General features: G+C 42.6%; 1 protein-coding gene and 1 pseudogene across 7 annotated transcripts in view, besides 3 other annotated features; one reads left to right on the forward strand and one right to left on the reverse strand.

Moving 5' to 3' along the window:
- Positions 1 to 22392, reverse strand: part of CD244 (CD244 molecule) — a 32728-nt gene that overhangs the window by 5227 nt on the left and 5109 nt on the right. For 2 of the 7 annotated variants that reach the window (NM_016382.4, XM_011509622.3), the window contains exons 2-6: positions 6198 to 6515; positions 5824 to 6099; positions 3553 to 3663; positions 3065 to 3132; positions 809 to 868 (exon numbers count right to left, since the gene is read on the reverse strand). In NM_016382.4, the coding sequence (NP_057466.1) occupies positions 809 to 868; positions 3065 to 3132; positions 3553 to 3663; positions 5824 to 6099; positions 6198 to 6515 (833 nt within the window). Of the gene's footprint in view, positions 1 to 808; positions 869 to 3064; positions 3133 to 3552; positions 3664 to 5823; positions 6115 to 6197; positions 6516 to 22392 lie in introns of all 7 variants that reach the window. The other 5 variants (NM_001166663.2, XM_011509621.3, NM_001166664.2 and 2 more) reach the window with 4 other exon arrangements.
- Positions 1826 to 2340: an enhancer, noted in NCBI's record as "H3K4me1 hESC enhancer chr1:160807002-160807516 (GRCh37/hg19 assembly coordinates)". NCBI's record gives its function as "activates a minimal SCP1, AML or CMV promoter by ChIP-STARR-seq in naive H9 embryonic stem cells {active_cell/tissue: H9 hESC(naive)}" and the evidence as "EXISTENCE:reporter gene assay evidence [ECO:0000049][PMID:30033119]".
- Positions 2344 to 2473: an enhancer, noted in NCBI's record as "active region_1962". NCBI's record gives its function as "activates an Ori minimal core promoter by ATAC-STARR-seq in GM12878 lymphoblastoid cells {active_cell/tissue: GM12878}" and the evidence as "EXISTENCE:reporter gene assay evidence [ECO:0000049][PMID:35858748]".
- Positions 12624 to 13116, forward strand: PPIAP37 (peptidylprolyl isomerase A pseudogene 37; annotated as a pseudogene).
- Positions 20002 to 20051: an enhancer, noted in NCBI's record as "active region_1963". NCBI's record gives its function as "activates an Ori minimal core promoter by ATAC-STARR-seq in GM12878 lymphoblastoid cells {active_cell/tissue: GM12878}" and the evidence as "EXISTENCE:reporter gene assay evidence [ECO:0000049][PMID:35858748]".

A 22392-nucleotide genomic window follows, 5' to 3' on the forward strand; every position in this document is an offset into this window, starting at 1 on the left:
GATATGGAATGTAGACCACATCTAAAGTATTAGAACTATTTTCATGAGGCTGTTATGTGAGATTTAGTAAGAAAATACAGCTGGGTGCAGTGGTACACACCTGCAGACCTAGCTACCCAGGAGGCTGAGGTGGGAGGATCACTTGAGGCCGGGAATTCAAGGCTTCAGTAAGCTATGATTCTACCATTGCACTCAGCCTGGTAGACAGAATGAGATCCTGTCTCATAACGGGTATACCAAAAATCTCACAAATCACCACTAAAGAACTGACTCATGACACCAAATGCCACCTGTTCCCAAAAAAACCTATGGAAATAAAAAATAAATAAAGAGACCCTGTCTCTAAACAATAAAATTGTTTTAAAAGAAAAGAAAATGGACATTATTGCTAAGTCATAATAAAATAAAAGAGATCAATGCAGATTCATTCTTTCCTGAAAACGAATATAATAGGGAATAGGGATAAAAAGTGCAAGGGCCCCAAGTATTAGAAGCAGCAGCAGGGCAAGAAAGCAGAAGTTGAGTCCCCTAACCAGGTTTCTGCTCCTATAGACTTTATCTGGGCCAGACCTTCTGCCAGACACGGAAGAAGAAGGAATGTCCACATCAGGCTTCCCAGCTGTGTTAAGATGCTCTAGTATCACACGGATCTTTTCAAATAATGTGTTAATGCAACTGAAGCCAAGCTATCTTCTGGATTCTAGAAGCACCAAGATCTTATTCTGCCATTCAATGGTGTGAGTTTCAGGGGGGCATTAGGAAACCCCAGAGATAGGTATGGAATGGACTAGAGAAACTGGAGAGGTACCTGGGACTGGATCATAGAGTAGATGGTGCTCCCCCCTCCAGGAAAAGTCTGCTCCTGCTCCTGCACAAGAAATGGAGATGGGGTAACATGAGCGACAGTTCGGTCTGTCCAGATTTAGATTGAGTGGGGAAAAACAGCACAAAGAAGAGGGCTTTTCAGGAGACTGGGAGGGAGGTGGCAGGACTGGGGAGAGTCATTGATCCTCCCAAGATGGGAAGAGACAGGAAGAAGAGCAGTTTGGAGTGGAACCATTAGTATCAGGAGCAAGGAACCACCTAGGTGTGAGGGGTTCCAGCAACCCTGCTCAAAGAGAATGCTGTCACTTTCTTTCCTTTAGTAACTTAGAAACCCTTCCTTGCAGAGCTCTGAGTAGGGCTGTTATCTGAGCCTTACCTCAGAGCACTGAAATTCAGAAAGTTTAAACATTTCAAAGACCAAACACAGTTAAGCCCTCTCTAGATCATCTTTGAGGCCACCTTGCCCTTGACCTCAAGTCAGCGCCCTGGGCAGCTATAGTGCTGGGTGCAGCCCTGAACCCAAGGGCCAAAGCAGGAAGCAGAGCTTCCTGCTTCCCTTTTCTTGTTCCTACCCCTTAGGAAATCGGTGGTGGAGGTATTTCATGCTGCCGGCCACTGAAAGCATATTGCCAGTTTGGGTTCTACTGGGAGCCAGTGGAGGCAGCAGGGTTCATTAGGCAAGGTGCAAGCAAAATTCCTGGAAGCAAGAAGAAGCTAAGAGAAGCAGAGAACTGTCAGCTGTCCTTAGAGGCTGGGGAGTCATGGGCATCTGACAATGTCAATAACTTCATTTGTGTTTTAAAATACTGCAGGAGTTTGTTGCTTTTCTCTCCCGTCCAGACCCGTGTGAAGTGTTTCTAGAAAGATTAGAGCTGGGTCTCAAAGTGAGACCACATGAAACTTGAGATTTAGGCCTTCAAATTGGAGCCCTGAGACAATAGGGAGAGGCCAGAGAGGGCTGAGGCCAGGCAGGGAGGAGCTCTTGAGTCGGAAGAAGTAAGCTAATAGGCCTGAATCCCAAAGAGGTTTCCTTTGCTCTAAGTTGTTTTTCCTCCTGTGGTCTCCTAATCTCAAGTCATCTTCTTTTTGGAAAAATAGATTATTTTTAGCAAGCACCCGGGCATCACTGGCTGTGGGTAGATTCACATGCTTTCAGGAATTTGTACCAGAGTCTGGTAGCAGTGAGAGAAACAAAGTCCCCTTTTATTATTCACATTCCAATAGCCACTGCTTTATTTTTCACATTCCCATAGCCACTGCTGGGGCAAAAATAAATAAATAAATAAAGATAAAAATAAAAAAACAGGCATGGGGAGCTGCTCTAACAGCCTCTGAACCCAGAGGCATCTGGGAGAGGATGCTTGCCTGCTCTGCGAGGCTGCACAGGGCCTCACGTATGTGGCCAGCACGGAAGAGCCCCACCACATGTGCTTCCTGCGTGCTGCTGGGTCTCCACAGCAAAGCGCCAGGGGGCAGTGGAAAGAAGGCACTTCCGCCCCACTTCACCCACCCTGCCCCACTTCCTGCCAGCAGTTTGGTAGGCTCCATCAGAGCTTTTCCCCTGGGCCTGTCACCACATCTGCCCTAAGCGAGACACAGCAGTGGGGGCATCTGCAGGCCCTCTGCAATTTCCTCCTCTTCTAATTCTTGGATGACAGGCAGAGTTGGCCCCTGCCTGCTGCGAAGAGCAGGCGAGAGGCTCCTGGAGGAGCCTACTCAGGCTGGTGGGCTTTGTGCCAGGCTGGTTACTCTCTCTAGTACCTCAGCCACACTCAGGCCTCTTCTTCCAAAAGGCTGTGAATGCAGCCTATTGAGCCAGCTACAAAACTATTATGCTTTGGCTGGTCACACTTCCCAGCCTGTGTCACCATTAAGGGACTCATGAATGTAAGCCCTGACTCATTAGGAAAAAGAATTTGTGGTCAGACAACAAATACCACAGCAGCACTCTGCCTCTGTCATTGATTTCTGTTGTGCTCCATCCCTTCTCAGCAGGTGCAATTCTGCACCAAGATGCCCCTTCAGCCTCCCTTTCATCTCCTCTGCTCCTTTTGTTTCCTCTTTTCCTCCATCACCAGAACTAGGAAGCAGGTGGAGAAAAGATAGATGGGGAAGGGCTGAGGGTCACATCAAAAGGACAGTCGTTCAGTCCTTTTTGTCCCTCTGCTCTGAATAACCATCATTGAAAGAGCATTTTCCAAGCCAGCTGAGAGAGACCCCAGCCTCCGGGATGACATACGTGATTTCTCCTGGTTTTCAGATCCTTGACATCTTCGTAAATTGTCAAAAATTCCTTGGGACTGGTCTCTGAGGGAGGAAGAAAACAAAGAGCAGAGCTGCAGAAACCTCCAGAAGGGCTTTTGCTTCTAACAGGTCCCACCTCTACCCCAAATGGCCAAACCTTAAAAAAGGTTCTAGAAAGGAGGCAAGTTAATGCTCTTCCCAGGAACCCCAAAGAGCACAGAGGCAGCAACCGAACTGCCCCTCCCACACCTCCTCCCAAACCAGCTGTCTACAGGGAAATCTGCGCATTGGGATCAGAAGGCATGAACTGGGAGAGAGAGCCTAGCAACCTGCTTGCCCCCCGCCACCACGCACACAAACATACCAAAGCTCGTTGAGGAAAAGGAGATGCTGTGCTCCCAGACACATCCCACTGGACGCAGGACAAAGTCACAGGATCCAAGGCCTCAGGCAGGAGCACCACCCTAAGGACCTTCCACTCACCTGACTGCTTCTCCTTCCTCTTTCTCCTCCACACACAGAAGCAGGCAAGGGTGCCAAGGAACAGTGCGCTTAGAATCACGATGATCACCAAAAACGGCCAAAATCTGAATTCTGAGGAATACAGAAGGCGTGAGAACTGAGCTGTCAGCTCGCTCTCTTCTTCCTTCCCACCTGCCTGCTGCAGGGGCTGCCTCAAAACCCACTTTTCTCTGTGTTGTGGCTGATTGCCTCGTGCTCTGAGAACTCACGGTCAAGGTTTTCTCTTTGCTCATTTGGTTAACCTCCTCTGAGTGATGCCAAGAGCATAGATATATCAGACAGGCCTGGCTCAAATTCTAACCCTGTGAGCTCTGCACTATTTATTTAACCTCTCTGGGCCTCTCAAGTCATCTTATTTTTGGAAGATGCCTCAGAGCCTCTTAGATTTTCTCACCTGTAAAAGGGGATAACGTTATCTACCTATAGGGGTTAATTACATGATCTAATACAGTTGCCCTCCAAAGTTTTGAGTTCCACAATGTGGATTCAATGAATTGTGGATCCAGAATATTCAGGGAAAAAAAATGCATGTGTATTGAATATGTAGAGGCCTTTTTCCTTGTCATTATTCCCTAAACAATACAGTATAACAACTATTTAAATAGCATTTACATTGTATCAGGCATTATAACTAATTTAGAGGTGACTTAAGTAAGGTATACAGAAGGATGTGTGCATAGGTTATATGCAAAAACTGCACCTGTTTATGCCAGGGACTTAAACATTCGTGGATCTTGGCATCTGTGGTTGCGAGGTGGGTCCTGGAACTAATTCGTCATGGATACTGAGGGACATGTAGCACAACAAATGTTACATTTATCCATTCCTTTGTTTTTAACTCAAAAAATACTCATTGTACAGGCAAGTTTTCCGTCTCACTTTTCCACTATTCCTTCCTTCATGGCTCTTCCTCATTTGAACTTCTACTTAAAAGATTTGTGTCACACATGTAGCCTGATATATAATCCAGCCAACAAGAGGAAGGAAAAGGAATTAAGTGTTCCAAGGGCTGACAAGGCTCTTTGCAAACATTATCTCATTTACTCTTAACAGCAATCCTGTGAGGTACTTATTATCACCCCCATTTTACTCAAGGGGGGAAGAAAATTGAGGCTCAGAGAGGTTAATGAATCTGCCAGAGATCACAGAGCTTCTTTTTTTTTTTTTTTTAAATAGAGATGGGATTACACCATATTGTCCAGGCTGGTCTCAAACACCTGGACTCAAGTGATCCACCTGCCTCAGCCTCCCAAAGTGCTAGGATTACATGTGTGAGCCACCACACCTGACCTCTAAGAGATCACAGAGCTTCTGAATGATGAAGCCAGTGTCCTAGTTCAGTGGCATGATCTTGACTCACTGCAACCTCCGCCTCCTGGGTTCAAGCAATTCTCCTGCCTCAGCCTCCTGAGTAGCTGAGATTACAGGTGCCCGCCAACACGCCCAGCTAATTTTTTGTATTTTTAGTAGAGACAGGGTTTCACCATGTTGGCCAGGCTGGTCTCAAACTCCTGACCTTGTGATCCACCCACCTCAGCCTCCCAAAGTGCTGGGATTACAGGGAGCCACTGCGCCCGGCCTGCCTCAGTCTTGTTTCTTTTTTGTCCACAAGTAGTTATTTTTGTTGCCCCATTTGGCTATAAGTTCCTTATGAATGAGAGCTGTATGGTTTTTTTTTCCTATAATGCCCATGCTGCTGGTACATTAAGTCCCTGTTTATGTAATAAAAAGTTGTGGAACGGTAACTCAGGTAACTCTTAGGATGAGCATAAGCAACAGCCCAAGAACTCATCTAGGTATCCCTGGGGTCATCCTGATGCTCCTGCTCCAGGCTACTGCTGCACAGTGTAGTTACCTCTTGAACTATGTGGCTTGGAGAAAGTTATCACTCAAGAGGAGAGGACAGTTCTCCATCAGCCTCTCCCAGGAAGAAAATAATGTTCAGGAGCCATTTCAGGACTGTCACTCACCAAACAACTATGCCCTCCCTCTGCAGAAGAAAAGCTTGCATCTCCCAGAAGGAAATAGGGATAACATTTTTTTCCAGAGTAGGATAGGCCTAGCTTTACAGGAACTGTGTGCCTGGAGGCCAGGGCTACCCTGGGAAGGGCTACAAGGCACTGGGAGAGGAGGCCAAGGGATTTTATCTCATACCACATCTGTCTTGCACATGAGCCTGGTTGCGGGGTCCAAACCTTCAGCGCTTGTTATAGCCCAGTGTGTTCCACTTACCCTGATGGGCATTCTGACAGTCCTGAGTGAGATTCAGGGTGTGGCTTTCCCAGCTAACAGGATTGCTGACATTGCAGGTATATGTGTGAGTGCCATTAATGTCAACCTCCTCGTCCAGGTAGGTGAGGTTCCCTGCTGTCTGGATCAGCTTGCTCCCTCTGTACCAAGCATAGGACACATTGCCATCCCTGGAGACCAAGCAAGACAGAGCCACTTGGCATCTCCCTCTGTCCAGGATCTTCCCCTGCCCCTGTAGGCGGGGTTTCTCAACTTTATCTGGAAGCAGAGATTCTGATCAGAAAGGCATTGGAAATACAGAACTTAGAGGCCTATAGGAATCAGAGAGGGCAGTATGAACAGTCCTGGAGACTTACCAAATACAAAAACCTGGAACGTGGCTGTCTGAACTTTTCCAGATATACTGGTGACCTCCAGGCAGTAGAGGCCACTGTCCTGCTGCTGAGCTGCCTTGATGAGAAGACTCAAGTTCTTGACTATAAAACTGAATCTATCATTGGAAGTATTGGAAGGCAAAGAGCCATTCTCCCACTTCAATATGTGATGAAATCCATTTTGTGAGGGCAGCAACTTCTTCCATGCAATGCTGTCAACCTTCGTCTGTATGCTGTTTGGTTGTAACTGAAGAGGCACTCCCGAGATGCTAACCACATGGTCAGCTGATCCCTGGCATCCTAGGAAAGAGAACCCAAGCTGAAAGTAGCGGGAAGAGTGTCAGGCCTGAGCAATGTGGGCAGCTGGATGTGACTTCCCTTAAGCCAATTGGGTGGGGATGAGTATGAGGAGCCCAGAACCTAGGAGCACCTTAAAGCATATCCCCTCCATCTGCCTCCCCTTGTCCCCAAGCTCTGTGTCCCTAGTCTGAGGGATCCCATAGACCAATAGCTAAAATCTTGAGTACTTACTATGTGACAGGCAGGTTTCACACTTTATACATTTTAACTATTTAAGTTAAAAGGTATGATGAGTTAAAAGAATGATGAGCCTGAAACCTAGTCAGTTTGGTGTTATGTTTTTGTTTTCTTTTGTTTTGTTTTCTAGAGACAGGGTCTCACTCTGTCACCCAGGCTGGAGTGCAGTGGCGCAATCACAGCTCACTGCAGCCTTGAACTCCTGGGCTTGAGGTGATCCTCCCATCTCAACCTCCCTAGTAGCTGGGAGCACAGGTGCTAGGGAGCTTATTTGTTTACTCTTTGTAAAGACAGCAGTTTGGCTTGAGAGGATAAATTCTTAACCATGATGCTATAAATACCACATCTAAGGTGACTCCCTCCAAGCAGTGCTGAGGCAACTACTAATGGCAAGTAGTGACTGTTGGAAATTCTGAATGGTCAGGCCCAGGAAGACTAACCGTCCAAGCTGAACTCATGGCCCCTCAACCATCCTCTCACAGAGCTGAATACATAATCCTCTCTCGTGGCACTTGGTTCATTGGATTTTGGTCATTACTTATTGATGTTTGCCAGTTTTTCAGTGATCAGAAAGTCTCCACAAAAATTTCTCCCTAGAAAACAATTTTAAAAATAAAACTACACTTCCCAGGCAGATCCCAGCACTTGCCTCTCAAAGAATCAAGATGAAACCTAATGAATATGGGGGTGTGACAACCTAGAGCAATTCTGTGCAGTCAGTGTACAAAACTGGAAGTTCCTACAGCCATTTTTAGTAATAAAGCTATGTGGCATGGCCCAGCAGGTGCAGGAAATTAAAAAGTCTCTCTGGGTGAGTTGGGGAGGCTCAGGGAGGATTTGGAAGAGAAAATAAGAGATGGGGAGAGTTTTACAAGTGGCTCCGTTAAAATGGAGGCTATTAAGAAGAGAGCAATTGAGACAGAGGGGTTTTTATATGTCCAGTGCATTATGAATGCAGTCTCTCCAAGCCACAGCTTCACCCTGGCATTTTCTCAAGAGACTAAGTAAATAATTAAAGGACTTGTAATACTATTTGTTTGATGAAATATGTTTCTTTGATCTTGATGCTCCTAAGACTAAAACACATAGGTTCCCATTTATATTTATATGACTTGTACTGGCTCTGCCCATTAGCAAACCAAAAGCTTCTCAAAAGCAGAGACTGTGCTGTGCATCTCTGTGTCTCTGTCTCCTACGATCCTAGCACTATTTATAAGAACAAGTCAACCTACCAAATATTGCACAAAGACCCTGAGAACAAAGGTGAATGGAAAAAATCATTACTAAACCTACAAGGAGGACATATACTGTCTTCATCAATTATTCAGTCCTTACTGAGTCCCACTGCAATCCAGCCCCTGAAGAGGCAGGGCCTCTTCATGTATAAGGCATGATTCCTGACTCCAGAGAGTTTGTGATCTGGAAACAGAACACTTTCATTCTACAGCATCCCCTTAATTGTTGAGATAAAAAATCATCGAAGGAATTCTAATTATGTAATGAAAATCCAGGTTAAGACATGCTAACCAATCCTCCCACTAAAAATAGCTAGAAGAAAAATGAACAACATGTAAAAGCACATTGTTAAAGTTATCAGAGAGTTTATAAAGCAGTGAAAAATTATGGGGCCAATATCTGGAAGAAGGAAATTCAGAGAGGTGAGATCAGCATTTCTGACTGTTGTTCCCTGGAGGCATCTTCTGATTCCATAAATGGCAGCTAAAAGGCTGAGAAGCTGAGCAGAGCTCACAATAAAACTCAAGGAACTAAGAGAACATGAAGTTCACGTCCCTCCTATTAGAAAGCGGGTATACATAAAATCCATCAGTGTTGAGGTTGGTACCACAGAGGGCTATACCCAAAGAGTAAGAGTGAACGAGAAATGAACAGCCCTCACAGGAACTGAAGCTCAATTTTGAATCATCACAACCCTGGATTGAACTAATGATCTGGAATCTCTGGTAGCCCTAACCTGGCTGCCAACTAGAGGCAAATATAAGTTATGACTAGAGGAAAATAACATCAACCAGAGCATTAAATTATTCCTAGAATGTTTCATACACAATATCCAAAGTGAAGTATAAGAAAAGGAAACATCTCCAAAAACCAACAGAAGAATAGAGACAACAGAAACCAACAAACAGGGCATCTACATAATAGAGTTGTCAGTCATAAACTTTAAAGTAATCATGTCTAATATGTTCAAGGAAATAAAACATAAGTTTAAGAATTTCAGCAGAGAACTAGCGTGATAGAATGCAAAAATACCATGTCCTTGCAATGTGACTTTACAGCTCCTTCTGTTATCAAGAAATGGGGTTCATTTCCCTGTCTCTTGGAACTGGGCTGGTCTTCATGATGAAACGCAGCAAAAATGATGTTCTGCTAGTTCTAAGCCTAGATCTGAAAAGGCATTGCACATTTCTACTTGTTCTCTTGGAACCTCATCTGGCTGACCTGTGAACAAGCCTAAAATAGCCTGCTGGAGAATAAGATATCACATGATACAGAGATAAGCCAACACAGCTAAGGCCATTCTAAATCAGCTAGCCCTGGCCTGGTGCGGTGGCTCATGCCCGTAATTCCAGCACTTTGGGAGGCCAAGGCCGGCAGATCACTCAAGGTCGGGAGTTCGAGACCACCCTGGCCAACATGGTAAAACCTCGTCTCTACTAACGATACAAAAATTAGCCAGACATGGTGGCACACACTTGTAACCCCAGCTACTTGGGAGTCTGAGGCACGAGAACTGCTTGAACCCGGGAGATGGAGCTTGCAGTGAGCCGAGATATCATGCCACTGCACTCTAGCCTGCATGACAGAGCAAGACCTAATCTCAAAAAACAATAAAAAATAAATAAATGAATCAGCCACCCGTGGCCAGTCTGGCAGCTGACCACACATGCATGACTGATGCAAGAGGAAACCAAAAGAACCACCTAGCTGAGCCCAGCCCAAATTGCCAACTAGCAGAATCACTAACTAAATAGGTAGTTGTTTTAAACTACTGGATTTTGGAGTAGGTCATTATGCAGCAATAGTTACCTGAAATTGGATTTTTTTTAAAGAATTCAATGAAAATTACAGAAATAAAATGTAAAATAACTGTAAAACAAACTCAATTGAAAGGTTAAAAAGGCCATTTAGATGCCATTGAAAAGAGAATTAGAAAACTGTTATAAAATATCCAGAGTGAAGTAAAGAAAAACAAAAGGATAAAAATACACAAGAAGGAGTGTAAAAGATATTTGAGATATAGCAAAAACAAAACAAAACCCCTAAACTAAGTGTAATTGGAAAGCAAGGAGACGAGAGAGGAAAGAGGAACTAAGCAAAAGAGATAAAAGATAAGAATTTCCCAAAACTGACAAAAGCCATCAAGATAGATTTGTAAAATGTGTTACAAACCCCAAGCAAGATCAAAACAAACCGACAAGCTGGGCACGGTGGCTCACGCCTGTAATCCCAGCACTTTGGGAGGCCCAGGTGGATGGATCACCTGACGTCAGGAGTTTGAGACCAGCCTGGCCAATATGACAAAATCCCATCTCTGCTAAAAATGCAAAAATTAGCCAAGTATGGTGGTGCACACCTGTAATCCCAGCTACTTGGGAGGCTGAGGCAGGAGAATCACTTGAATCCAGGAGGTGGAGGTTGCAGTGAGCCGAGATCACGCCACTGCACTCCAACCTGGGCAACAAGAGTGAAACTCTGTCTCAAAAAAAAAAAAAGAAAAAAAACAAACCAATGAACAAAAGACAACCTCTCAATACATCAAAAAAATTATGGAAACCAAAGATAAATAGAAAAATCGTAAAATAGCCAGAGTGGGGGAAAACTAAATTCCCTTCACAAAACAAACAACTTAGCTGACATTTCAGCAAAAATAATAAAAAGCAGATGATGGAATGGTATCTTTTTTTTTTATTTTTCCATAGGTTATTGGGGTACAGGTGGTGTTTGGTTACAAGAGAAAGTTCATTAGAGGTGATTTGTGAGTCGGTGCACCCATCACCCGAGCAGTATACACTGCACTCTATTTATAGTCTTTTATCCCTCACTCCCCTCCCACTTTTCCTCCCAAGTCACCAAAGTCCACTGTATCATTCTTATGCCTTTGCATCCTCGTAGCTTAACTCCCACGTATCAGTGAGAACATACGTTGTTTGGTTTTCCAAGGAATGATATATTTAAAGTGCTGAAAGAAAATAACTGCCTATCTAGAATTTCGGTACTTCAAAGATGAAAGCAGATGCAGTGGCTCATGCCTGTAATCCCCGCACTTTGGGAGGCTGAAGCAGGTGAATCAGTTGAGGTCGGGAGTTGGAGACCAGGCTGGCCAACATGGCAAACCCCATCTCGACTAAAAATACAAAAGTTAGCTGAGCGTGGTGGCACGCGCCCATAATCCCGGCTACTCAGGAGGCTGAGGCACGAGAATCACTTGAACCCAGGAAGTCAAGGCTGCAGCGAGCCAAGATGGTGCCACTCCCCTCCTGCCTGGGTGACAAAGTGAGACTGTCTCAAAAAATAGTAATAATTTTTTAAATGAAGCTGAAATAAAGACATTTTTAGAAAAAATTAAAAACGGAAAGAATTTGTCACAAAAAGGCCTGCAGTAAAGGAAATACCAAAGGATGTTCTTTAGATATAAAGAAAATGGAAACTCAGGCACAAGAAGTGAAAAACAATAGAAACAGATGTAATTTGTGACAATAAAAGTGGGGGGATAGAGCTGTATAGGAGTTTTCTATAGTATTGAGGCTGAATTGGCATCAATTCAAACTATATTGTTGGAGGTATTCATTGTAATACCTGTGGTAACCATTGAGAAAATAACAAAATGTACAGAAAAAGAAATGAGAAGGGAATCAAAAAGATGCAGCACAAAAATATCAATTAAATACAAAAGAAGGCAATAACGGAGAAAATGAACAAAAAAAGACATAAGATGTATAAAAAATATACAGAAATAGAAGGAAATGTCATCATTATAAAAGAACCAATTAAGTAGGAATAAACAATCATCTTCAGTTTCTATGCATATAACAAGTTTAAAATATATAAAATAAAATTTGATAGAACTAAAAGGAGAAGTAAATCCACAACTATAGTTGGAGAGTTTTATTACATCTGTCTCTCTAGCTGCTACAAGAAGCACACAAAAAAATCAATAAGGCTATAAGAATTTGAAGATCATTAAACCAATATATATATAAATTATATATAAAACAATTCTCCTAACAATTGCAGAATACATATTCTTTTCAAGTGCACATGCAATAGTTACCAAAGTATTATCATATGCTGTGCATTAAAACAAGTGTCAACAAAGTTCAAAGTATTGAAATCATACCAATTATGCCCTCTAAGCACAGTAGAATTAAACAAAAAATCAATAACAGAAAAATAACCAGAAAATCTCTGAATGTTTAAAACATAAGAAACATATTTCTAAAAACCCATGAGTCAAAGAATAAATCAAATGAAATTTGGGAAATATTTAGAGCAAAGTGATAATGAGTATCAAATGTGCAATATAGCTAAGGCAGTGTTTAGAGGGAAATTTATAGCTTTAAATTTGTATATTGGAAAAGAAAGAAAGTTTGCAAGTCAATAATGCAAGATTCAATCTCAAGAAACCAAAGAAAAAGAAATAGTAATTCAAATAATGATGATGATGATGATAATCCAGAGAAAGGAGAAAGGAGAAAGTAAATGTAAGAGCTAACTTCAATAAAATAAAAAGCAAATACACAATAGAGAAAATTAGCAAAGCCAAAAGTAAATTCATTAAATAAAAGTGTTAAAATGTATATACCTGGTGCTTTGGAGGTGCCTTCACCACCTAGAGTCTCTTGCTATCAACCGTAGTCAACCCCACCATGTTCATTAATATAGCAGTTGACCATGAACCCTTGGACCGTGTCTCCTTGGAGCTGTTTGCACATAAAGTTCCAAAGACAGCAGAAAACATTTGTGTTCTGAGCACTAGAGAGAAATGATTTGGTTACAAGAGCTCCTGCTCTCACAGGATTATTGCAGAATTTATGTGCCAGGATGTTGACATCACACACCATAATGGCACTGGTGGCAAGTTCATCTATGGGGTGAAATTTGATGGTGAGAACTTCATCCTGAAGCATACAGGTCTTGGCATCTTGTCCATGGCAAATGCTGGACCCAACACAAATAGTTCCCAGTTTTTCATCTACATTGCCGAGACTGAATGGATGGATGGCAAGCGTGTGGTATTTGGCAAGTTGAAAGGGGGCATGAATATTGCAGACAGCATGGAGCCCTTTGGGTCCAGGAATGGCAAGACCAGCAAGAAGATCACCATTGCTGAGTGTAGACAACTCTAATCTGATATAAATCAAAAGACCCTCATTTCAGAGAAGTTCCTGCCTCAGATTCTAGAGAAAGAAATGCTACACAGAGAGACCAAGAAGAATCTGAACAGACAGGCCTTGCTGGGTTTCTCCACTCAGCCTGTTAGTATGGAATCATACCCTTTTCATCCAGTCACATTTCTACAAGGTTGTTGGTCATGCCTATGAAGTGAAGTCTCCATAAAAACCCAAGAGGACTGGGCTTGGAGAGCCTCCAGATAGCTGGAGATTCCTGGCATGCAGTGTGCCCAGGGAAGGCATGGAAGCTTCGTGTCCCTTCCCCCATACCTTGCCCTATGCCATCTCTTCATCTGTATCCTTTGTAATATCTCTTATAATAGACCAGCAAACATAAATGTTTCCCTGGTTTATGTGAGCCACTCCAGCAAATTAATTGAACCCAAGGAGGGGGTTGTGAGAACCCCAACTGGAAGCTGGTTGGTCCGAAGTTCTGGAGGCCCAGACTTAGAACTGGTGTGGTGGAGGGGTGGTGTTGGGGACTGAGCCCCCAGCCTCTGTGGTCTGACACTCTCTCCAGTTAGTGTCTGAACTGAATTGGAGAACACCCAGCTGGTGTCCACTGCAGAATACATTATTCAGTTTGCTGTGAGGAGAAATCCACCTCCCTGCATTTGGTCACAGAAGTCTTCTATGTTGATGATTGTTATTATTTTGATGTGGGAGCAGAGGAAAAACATGGTTGGAGAGGTTTGTTCAAAACAACAAACATTCACATTTGTACCCATCTCTTTCTTTTTTTTTTTTTTGTTTTACTTTAAGTTCTGGGATACGTATGCAGAACATGCAGATTTGTTACGTAGGTATACGTGTGCCATGGTGGTTTGCTGCACCTATCAACCCATCATCTAGGTTTTAAGCCCCACATGCATTAGGTATTTGTCCTAATGCCTCCCTCCCCTTGCCCCTCACCCACTAACAGGCCCTGGTGTGTGATATTCCCGTCCCTGTGCCCATATGTTCTCATTGTTCAACTCCCACTTTGAGTGAGAACACGTGGTGTTTGGTTTTCTGTTCCTGTGTTAGTTTGCTGAGAACGATGGCTTCCAGCTTCATCCATGTCCCTGCAAACTCAGGAACAGAAAAAGGATTCCATAATTACCTCTTTTAATCAACATTGTACTGGAGGTCATGGCTAGTTCAACAAAACAAGGAAAATAGTCAAAGGGAATAAAAATTAGAAATGAATATGTGAGGCTGGGCGCAGTGGCTCACGCCTGTAATCCCAGCACTTTGGGCAGCTCACCTGAGGTCAGGAGTTCGAGACCAGCCTGGCCAACACAGTGAAACTCCATCTCTACTAAAAATACAAAAATTAGCCAGGCGGGTGGCAGTCACCTGAAATCCCAGCTACTCGGGAGGCTGAGGCAGGAGAATCACTTGAACCCGGGAAGCGGAGGCTGCAGTGAGCCAAGATGGCACCATTGCACTCCAGCCTGGGCAACAAGAGCAAAACTCCATCTCAAAAAAAAAATGAATATGTGAAACTGTCATTATTCACAAACTATATACCTGTGTATATAGGAAACCAAGAGGACTATATGAAAAATTATTTGAGTGTAGAAGTCAGTTTTGCAAAATTGCTAGATATAAGGTCAATATACAAAAATCATTTTTATTTCTATATATTAGTACAAACAGATAAAAATGAAATTTTGAAAACAATACTATTTACAGCAGCACAAAAAAGATAAAATATATAGAAATAATTTCAAGAAGAAATATTTAAGACCTATACACCTATTGCAACAAAAGATTGCTGAGAAAAAATTAAAGAGCTAAATAAACAGGAGACTATACCATGGTTTTTATTGGAAGACTTAATATTGCTAAGATGTCAATTCTTCCTAAATTAATTTATAGATTCAATAGAATTCCAATAAAAATTATTGCAGGTTATTTTTATAGAAATTAACAAGTTGATTCTAAAACTTATATGAAAATGTAAAAGACATAGAATAGCCAAGGCAATCTTGATGAAGAACAAAGCTAGAAGGTTTTCACTACCTAATATCAAGATATATTGTAAAACTTCAGAAATTAAGATAGCATTCCAGTATTGCAAGGATTGAAAAGTAGTCGATGGAATATAATAGTCTAGAAATAGACCCTGTGTGTGGGAAAAACACTAACTGTTTTTCCTCTGGTTTCACACCACAACAATCAACACAGAAGACTTCTGTGACCAACGTGTGGGGAGTTTCCCACGTGCCAAGCAAGCAATCAGCTCTTCAGTGGACACCAACTGGATGTCCTCTAATTCAGTTCAATTCTGACACTATCTACCTGTAGATATCCACCAGATGCCAACTGCAAGCTCCAGATTGTTTTACCTGCGCTTCTGACCAACTAGCTATAAACTGGGTTTCCCGTTATTCCCTCCTTGGGTTCAATTAATTTGCTAGATGGCTCACAGAACTCAGGGAAACACATTCACTGGATTATTATAAAGGTTATTACAAAGGGTACCTATGAAGAGATGCATAGGACAAGGTGTAGGGGAAGGGATACAGAGTTTCCATGCCTTCCCAGGGCGTGCCACCCTCCAGGAACCTCCGCATGTTTAGCTCTCTGAACCTTGTTCTTTGGGTTTTTATGGAGGCCTCAATAAATGGGAATGATTGACCACTGGCCATCGGTGATCAACTTAACCTTCAATCCCTCTCCTTTTCCTGAAGGTTGGGGACGGGCTCAGAGTCCAATATTCCAACCCTGCCTTGGTCTTTCTGGTGACCGGCCCCTATCCCGAAGCTGCCTACAGGCTGCCAGCCATCGGTCACCTCATTAGCCTACAAAAAGACATCACTTCGGAATTTCTAAAAATTTTAGGAATTGTATGCCAGGAAAGGAGGTTGAAAACCAAATATATATTTCACAATATCACACAAACCAACACATACTTGATCTTTTCAATAAATGGTGCTTGGTCAAATTGATATCTATAAGGAAAAAAAACCTTGATATCTCCCTCATATCATATACAAAAATTAATTTAAAACAAATCATAAATTTAAATATGAAAGCTAAACCTATAAAGCTTCCAGGAAAAAGCACAAGAGAATATCTTCTACATCTTGAGATAGACAAATGTTTCCTTTTTTATTTTTACATTTTAATCTATTTTTATGTTTATTTTGAGACCAGATTATGAGACTGGCTAATTTTTGCATTTTTGGTAGAGATAGAGTTTCACCATGTTGCCAAGGCTTGTCTTGAACTCCTGGGCTCAAGTGATCCACCCGCCTTGGCCTCCCAAAGCGCTGAGATTACAGGCATGAGCCACTGCACCCAGACAACAAATGTTTCTTTAACAGGACACACACACACAAAAATAAATCACTAACCATAAAAGAATATTGATAAATTGGACTTCACTAAAACTTAGAACTTCTGTTTGGTGAAAGACAACATTGAGAGAGTGAAAAAGCAAGCCAAAGACTGGGAGAAAATGTTTGCAATACATACATTTGAAAAAGGGCTCATATCCAGAGTATATAAAGAATTCCATCAATAATAGACTGATGACAATAATAGACTGGAAATCAATAATACACTGATGACAATAATGACAAAAAAAGCAACAGACTTGGGCAGGCACTTTAGGAAAGAGAATATCCAATAGCCAATAGGCATGCATAAGGGTGCCCAACAACATTAGTTATCAGAGAATAATGAGATTTCACATTCCCACCAAAATAGCTAACATTTAAAGGTCTGAAGGCTGGGCGAAGCGGCTCAAGCCTGTAATCCCAGCACTTTGGGAGGCCGAGGCGGGTGGATCGCTTGAGGCCAGGAGTTCGAGGCCAGCCTGGCCAACATGGTGAAACCCCATCTCTACTAAAAATGCAAAAATTAGCAGAGCACGGTGGTGGCGCCTGTAATACCAGCTTCTTGGGAGTCTGAGGCAGGAGAATTGCTTGAACCCAGGAGGCAGAGGTTGCAGTGAGCCAAGATCACGCCACTGTACTCCAGCCTGGGTGACAGACTGAGACTTGGTCTCGAAAATAAATGTAAATAAATAAATGTGAAAATTCCAAGGGTTGACAGAGATGGGAGCAACTGAGATTCTCATTTATTGCTAGTGAGAGTGTAAATTGGTACCAGCACTTTGGAAAACTATTTTACGGTATCTTCTAAAACTAAACTTACATATACCCTTTGATCCAGAAGAATTTGTACACAAGAAAATCTGGGCCAGGCATGGTGGCTCATGCCTGTAATCCCAGCACTTTGGGAGGTCGAGGCAGGCGGATCACCTGAGGTCAGGAGTTTGAGACCAGCCTGGCCAACATGGTGAAACCCCATCTCAAAAAAAAGAAAAAAAATTAGCTGGGCGTGGCAGTGCACACCTGTAATCCCAGCTACTTGGAAGACTGAAGCAGGAGAATCACTTAAATCTGAGAGGCGGAGGTTGCAGTGAGCCAAGATCATGCCATTGCACTCCAGCCTGGGCAACAAGAGTGAAACTCCGTCTCAAAAAAAAAGAAAATCTGGTGTTTATATCCACTAAAAATATGTACAAGAGTGTTAATAATGGCTTTAGTCATAATAACTCAAAATGAGAAAAAACCCAAATGTCTATCACGATTAGATGAGCAAATAAATCGTGTTATAGTCTTATAAGGAATATTACACAGCAATGAAAAAGAAAAGCTACTTTTCCTGGCAATAATGTGGATGGATCTCACCACAATGATGAGTATTAATGAAGCTAGACTCCAAAAAGTACATAGTGAATTATTTCACTGATATAAAGTTTAAAATCTGGAAAAACTAATATATGGTGAGAGAGGTTAGAATGTGATTACCCTTGCAGGAGGGGGGTTATCAACTTGAAGGGCCAAAAAGGAATGACTGGGTGCTAGAAATGTGTTACATCTTGATGTGGGTAGTTTTGATATGTACTTACACATATAAAAGTTCATCAAGCTGTTGATTTAAATTTTGTGCACACAGCTGTGAGTTGTATCTTGGTAAAAAAGCAGAAAAAGAGTAATGACTACCTCTCACTCAACTGTTCTGACTATTAACTAAGATGTACTTTGATAAAAGCAAAATATGACTTGCCCATTGTGGAAACATTACCATAGCAAGTGAATTTGTAGATTTCCTCACTCATCTCAGCTAAACCCAACTCTTAGCTAAATATCAGAAAAGCCTGGGAGGCAGGGGTTGCAGTGAGCCATGACTGCACCACTGCACCCCAGCCTGGGTGACAGAGCAAGACCCTGCCTAAAAAAAAAAAAAAAAAAAAAAAAAAGTGAAAAAGGAAGATAGACCTAAAACAGCCAACTGAAATGCAATATGGAATGTGCTATGGAGGTGTGCCCAGGGTGTGAGGCAAGCATAAGGAAAGCATGTTTTCCTCTGCCCTGCAGAGTTAGGAGTGGCTGCCCAGAGGCGGTGGGTGGGAGCTGCCATTGAAAGAAAAAGCCAAGGCCTGCCTGGTGTATGCAGAAAGGAACAGGGAAGGTGGGTATTATGGACCCAGCAGTAGCATGGTTAAGGGAACACAAAACACACGTGTGGCTTATGGGTCTGGTAAAGATGGAGCAGGTTTGGAGAATGGGGTGATGGAACATGAGTTTAATTTTCAGGTGTTTAGTGGTGGTTTCACTTTATTTTTATCTTTTATAAAATTGTGAGAGGTAGCACAAGTATTAAAAGGTACTTAAATATAAATATACGGTGTAATGAAAAATAACGTAAACTCCCATATAATCCACCAGTAGATCAGAATGTAGAGCGCTATGTAGAAGAAGGTTGTTCTCTGCTATTATAAAACTGAATAGGAATCACACAGGAAAATGGTTAAGTTATTGTCTAGACTTCTTTGTTTGTTTGTTTGTTTTAAGACAGAGTCTCGCTCTGTCACCCAGACTGGTGTGCAGTGGCATGATCTCGGCTCACTGCAATCTCTGCCTCCCAGGTTCAAGTGATTCTCCTGTCTCAGCCTCATGAGTAACTGGGACTACAGGTGCCTGCCACCACCCCCAGCTATTCTTTTTTTTTTTTTTGTATTTTTAGTAGAGACAGGGTTTCGCCATATTGGCCAGGCTGGTCTTGAACTCCTGACCTCAAGTAATCCACCCGTCTCAGCCTCCCAAAGTTCTGGCGTGAGCCACCACTCCCAGCCATAGACTTCTAAATACTTAAAGAATGAAATGTGTGATCTACAGTCCTCATGCTATACTGCCTTTGGGGTCTTTTTAAAAATTAGGCCGTTATATTTTATTTTTATGTAATATTATATTAGTTTATACATTTAAGACTGGTTTGTCTGCAAATAAAAAGGAGCTAGAGAGAACACCAGGTGTTGTTTTGATTTTTCAACTGGAAGGAAACTGTACTAAAGGTAGGAAGCCCACAGAAAAGGAGCAGCTGAAGAAAGATGAGGGATGTCTTCACAGACAGCAGGTCCCAGGTGACTTCTGAAAGAAGCTCTGGTGCCCTGAGCACACAGGGGAGTATTGGTCAAGGACAGGGCAAGAACACTCTTGCCCTCAGCAGAGGCAAATGTGGCCATTTACAGGAGTAGATGAAGTACATTGACACTGGAGACTTGTTGGCAAGGTTGGTGGAATCCCTAACTTGTGCTTCTGTTTTCTTAAAGAAGGAGGTTGTTGGTTTGTGGAGGCTGAGATAGTGGAACAGGGCCTTGAAAGAGATGACGAAGGTGTGGAATTCTCCCACCTTTTGGGGAACAGGAGAAGCTGTGGGCCAGAAATGAGGATTCCCAGGACACTGAGAGTCCAGCTGGGGTTGGAGATTACGAATCTGTAGCTGCTCTTTGTTGCTGAATTTTCTCCTGCAGCCCCCAACAGTCCAGTGTGGGAAGGAGGAAGATGGTTGGAATGAGTTTCCATGGACGGCCTGGAAGGGGTGGGTGCCAGGGCAGGGGTGCAAAGCAGATACGGTGAAAAGGCAAGTAGACAAGTCACTATGTCCAGGGTATTGTGACTGATACAGAAAGACCTCAGTTTCTGTCCCAGAGGGGTACACACACCAGATAGGGGAGATGAAATGCTACTACGAAAACATAACTTCAACACAAGTTCTCACACATTTAGTGAGGCATAGAGGAGGACCCAACAAGTGAAAATTGTTTAGAGGAAAGAGGCCACAGTCCAGGAAGGCCCCCGGGCCCCTGCCACTGCTGTTGCTACTGCTCAGCAGCTTTGGGGGCCACCTTCCTGTGGTTAAGAACGGATGAGGTGAACTAGTAACTCTGAAAGGGAGGGCAGAGGGCAGATGATTAACTCCACTGCAGCCTCAGGAAGAACAGAGGATGGTCAAGGAGACAAGTACAGAGGATGGTGAAGGAGACAATCTGATCCAGCAGTGAGTCCCGCTCAGCCCTGAGCCCATGTGCAGAGCTCTGAGTCAGCTCAGCTTCCTCCAACCTGGACCTGCCAGTCGGAGGAAGGTGTGGGGCCTGAGCACCTGGGAGAAGGAGCACGGGAGGGTCTCAGAGCAAGTGGAATTTCCACCAGCCAACAAATAGATGTTAAGGTTTTCTCAGCTAGGGCTTGTGCTACCAGGCTTGGGGTGAAGGCATCAAAAGATGTACCTGCTGGGGACTAAGTGAACAGAGTCCAGTGAGATTCCAAAAGTACTGGGGCAATCCAGCTCTAGTCAGGGCAAAATCATAAGATAGATAAAGTATCCTATAGGGCCCACATCCCATTTCTTTCTTCCTCTCTATTTAGCTTCATACTGACCATATTAACTCTCTTCCTCAGGCAATGCAACTCCCTTACCTCTGTCAAAACTCACCTAGCCCAAGTCCCACTCTTTGCATCAGTTAACCAAATCATCTCATATGTGATATTGTTTCTCCATGATAACAAGTGCATCTCCCTTTCCTGTTTCCCATCCAAACCCCATGCAACCCTGGCTTTTCTGAGCTGTTTCCTCTGCTTCAATTGTCCTTCTACTTTGTACCTACCTCCTAAACTCTTATTTATTCTTCAAGGCCAGTTCCCCAGTGTTCCTACCTAGAAGGAATCTTCATCTTCTTAGCTCCTTTTTTATTCTAAATGTATCTTGCCTGTTAATGACACATAGCATTTCCATCTTCCCTTATAGTTGTAATTATACATACCCATTTTCCTCTGTCTGAAAGATTCTTAAGGGTAGAATAGACATCTGTTTCATCTTTGTTTCCCCCACAAAACCTTGCATAGTTCTTGGAGCATAATAAGGGCTGGGGAAAGAGTTTATGAATAAGACCTCAAAAGCACAGGCAACAGAAGCAAAATAAACAAATGGTATTACAGCAAACTAAAAAAAAATCATGTACAGTAAAGGAAACAATTCACAGAGTGAAAAGGCAACCAATAGAATAGGAAAAAAAATTGCAAACTATGAATCCTACAGGCAACTAATATGCAGAATAGACAAGAAATTCAAACGTCACAACAGCAAAATGAACAACCCAAGCAAGGGCTTCATGAATCCGTTTAAATTAATTAATTCAACAATGCATCTCACATAACTCCTAAAAATGACTCTATTGTCAGAATTTCATGCAGGATACCAGAGAAATCACAGAGCTGTAATTCCCTTGCCTTTGGCCTCTTGCCAAGCTCCACATTTCCACAATTTAATTTTCCATCTGCAGACCTTCAGAACCAAAAGCCAGTGGCCCCAAAGCAGCATGGAACTCTCATGCACTATTTGGTTCAACCACTTTGGAAAACAGTTTGACAGCATCTGCTAGAGTTACGTACACATACTCCATGGTTCTGCCCCTAGAGATATACCCAACAGACATGCATGCACAAAAGGCTCATCACAGCATTATTATAATAGCAAAAACAAAATTGAAAGCAACCCAAAGGTTCATCAATAATAGAAAAGGTGAATAAACTATGATATAGTCATGCGATAAAATACTATACAGCCATGAAAATGATCTGCTACAAATAATAACATACATAAATCTCATAAGATGTTGAGCAAAAGTAGTCAGACACAAGAGTGCATACCGTTTGATTCCATATATACGGACAAAACAAATCTGTGATGTTAGAAGTCAGAATTGTGGCTATATTTATGGAAGACAGAGGAAGTAATGAATGGGAGAGAACATGTGGTAGACACAAGAGTGTGTTCATTTAACAATAGCTCATTGAGATGTACATTTGTAATTTTGTGTACTTTTCTGTATGTTGCACTTCAATAAGAGAGGTTTGTCTGTGAAGACAATGGCCTGGCTGGGCACAGTG

Source organism: Homo sapiens, chromosome 1 (assembly GCF_000001405.40).
Source record: "Homo sapiens chromosome 1, GRCh38.p14 Primary Assembly".
Taxonomy (NCBI): Eukaryota; Metazoa; Chordata; class Mammalia; order Primates; family Hominidae; genus Homo; species Homo sapiens.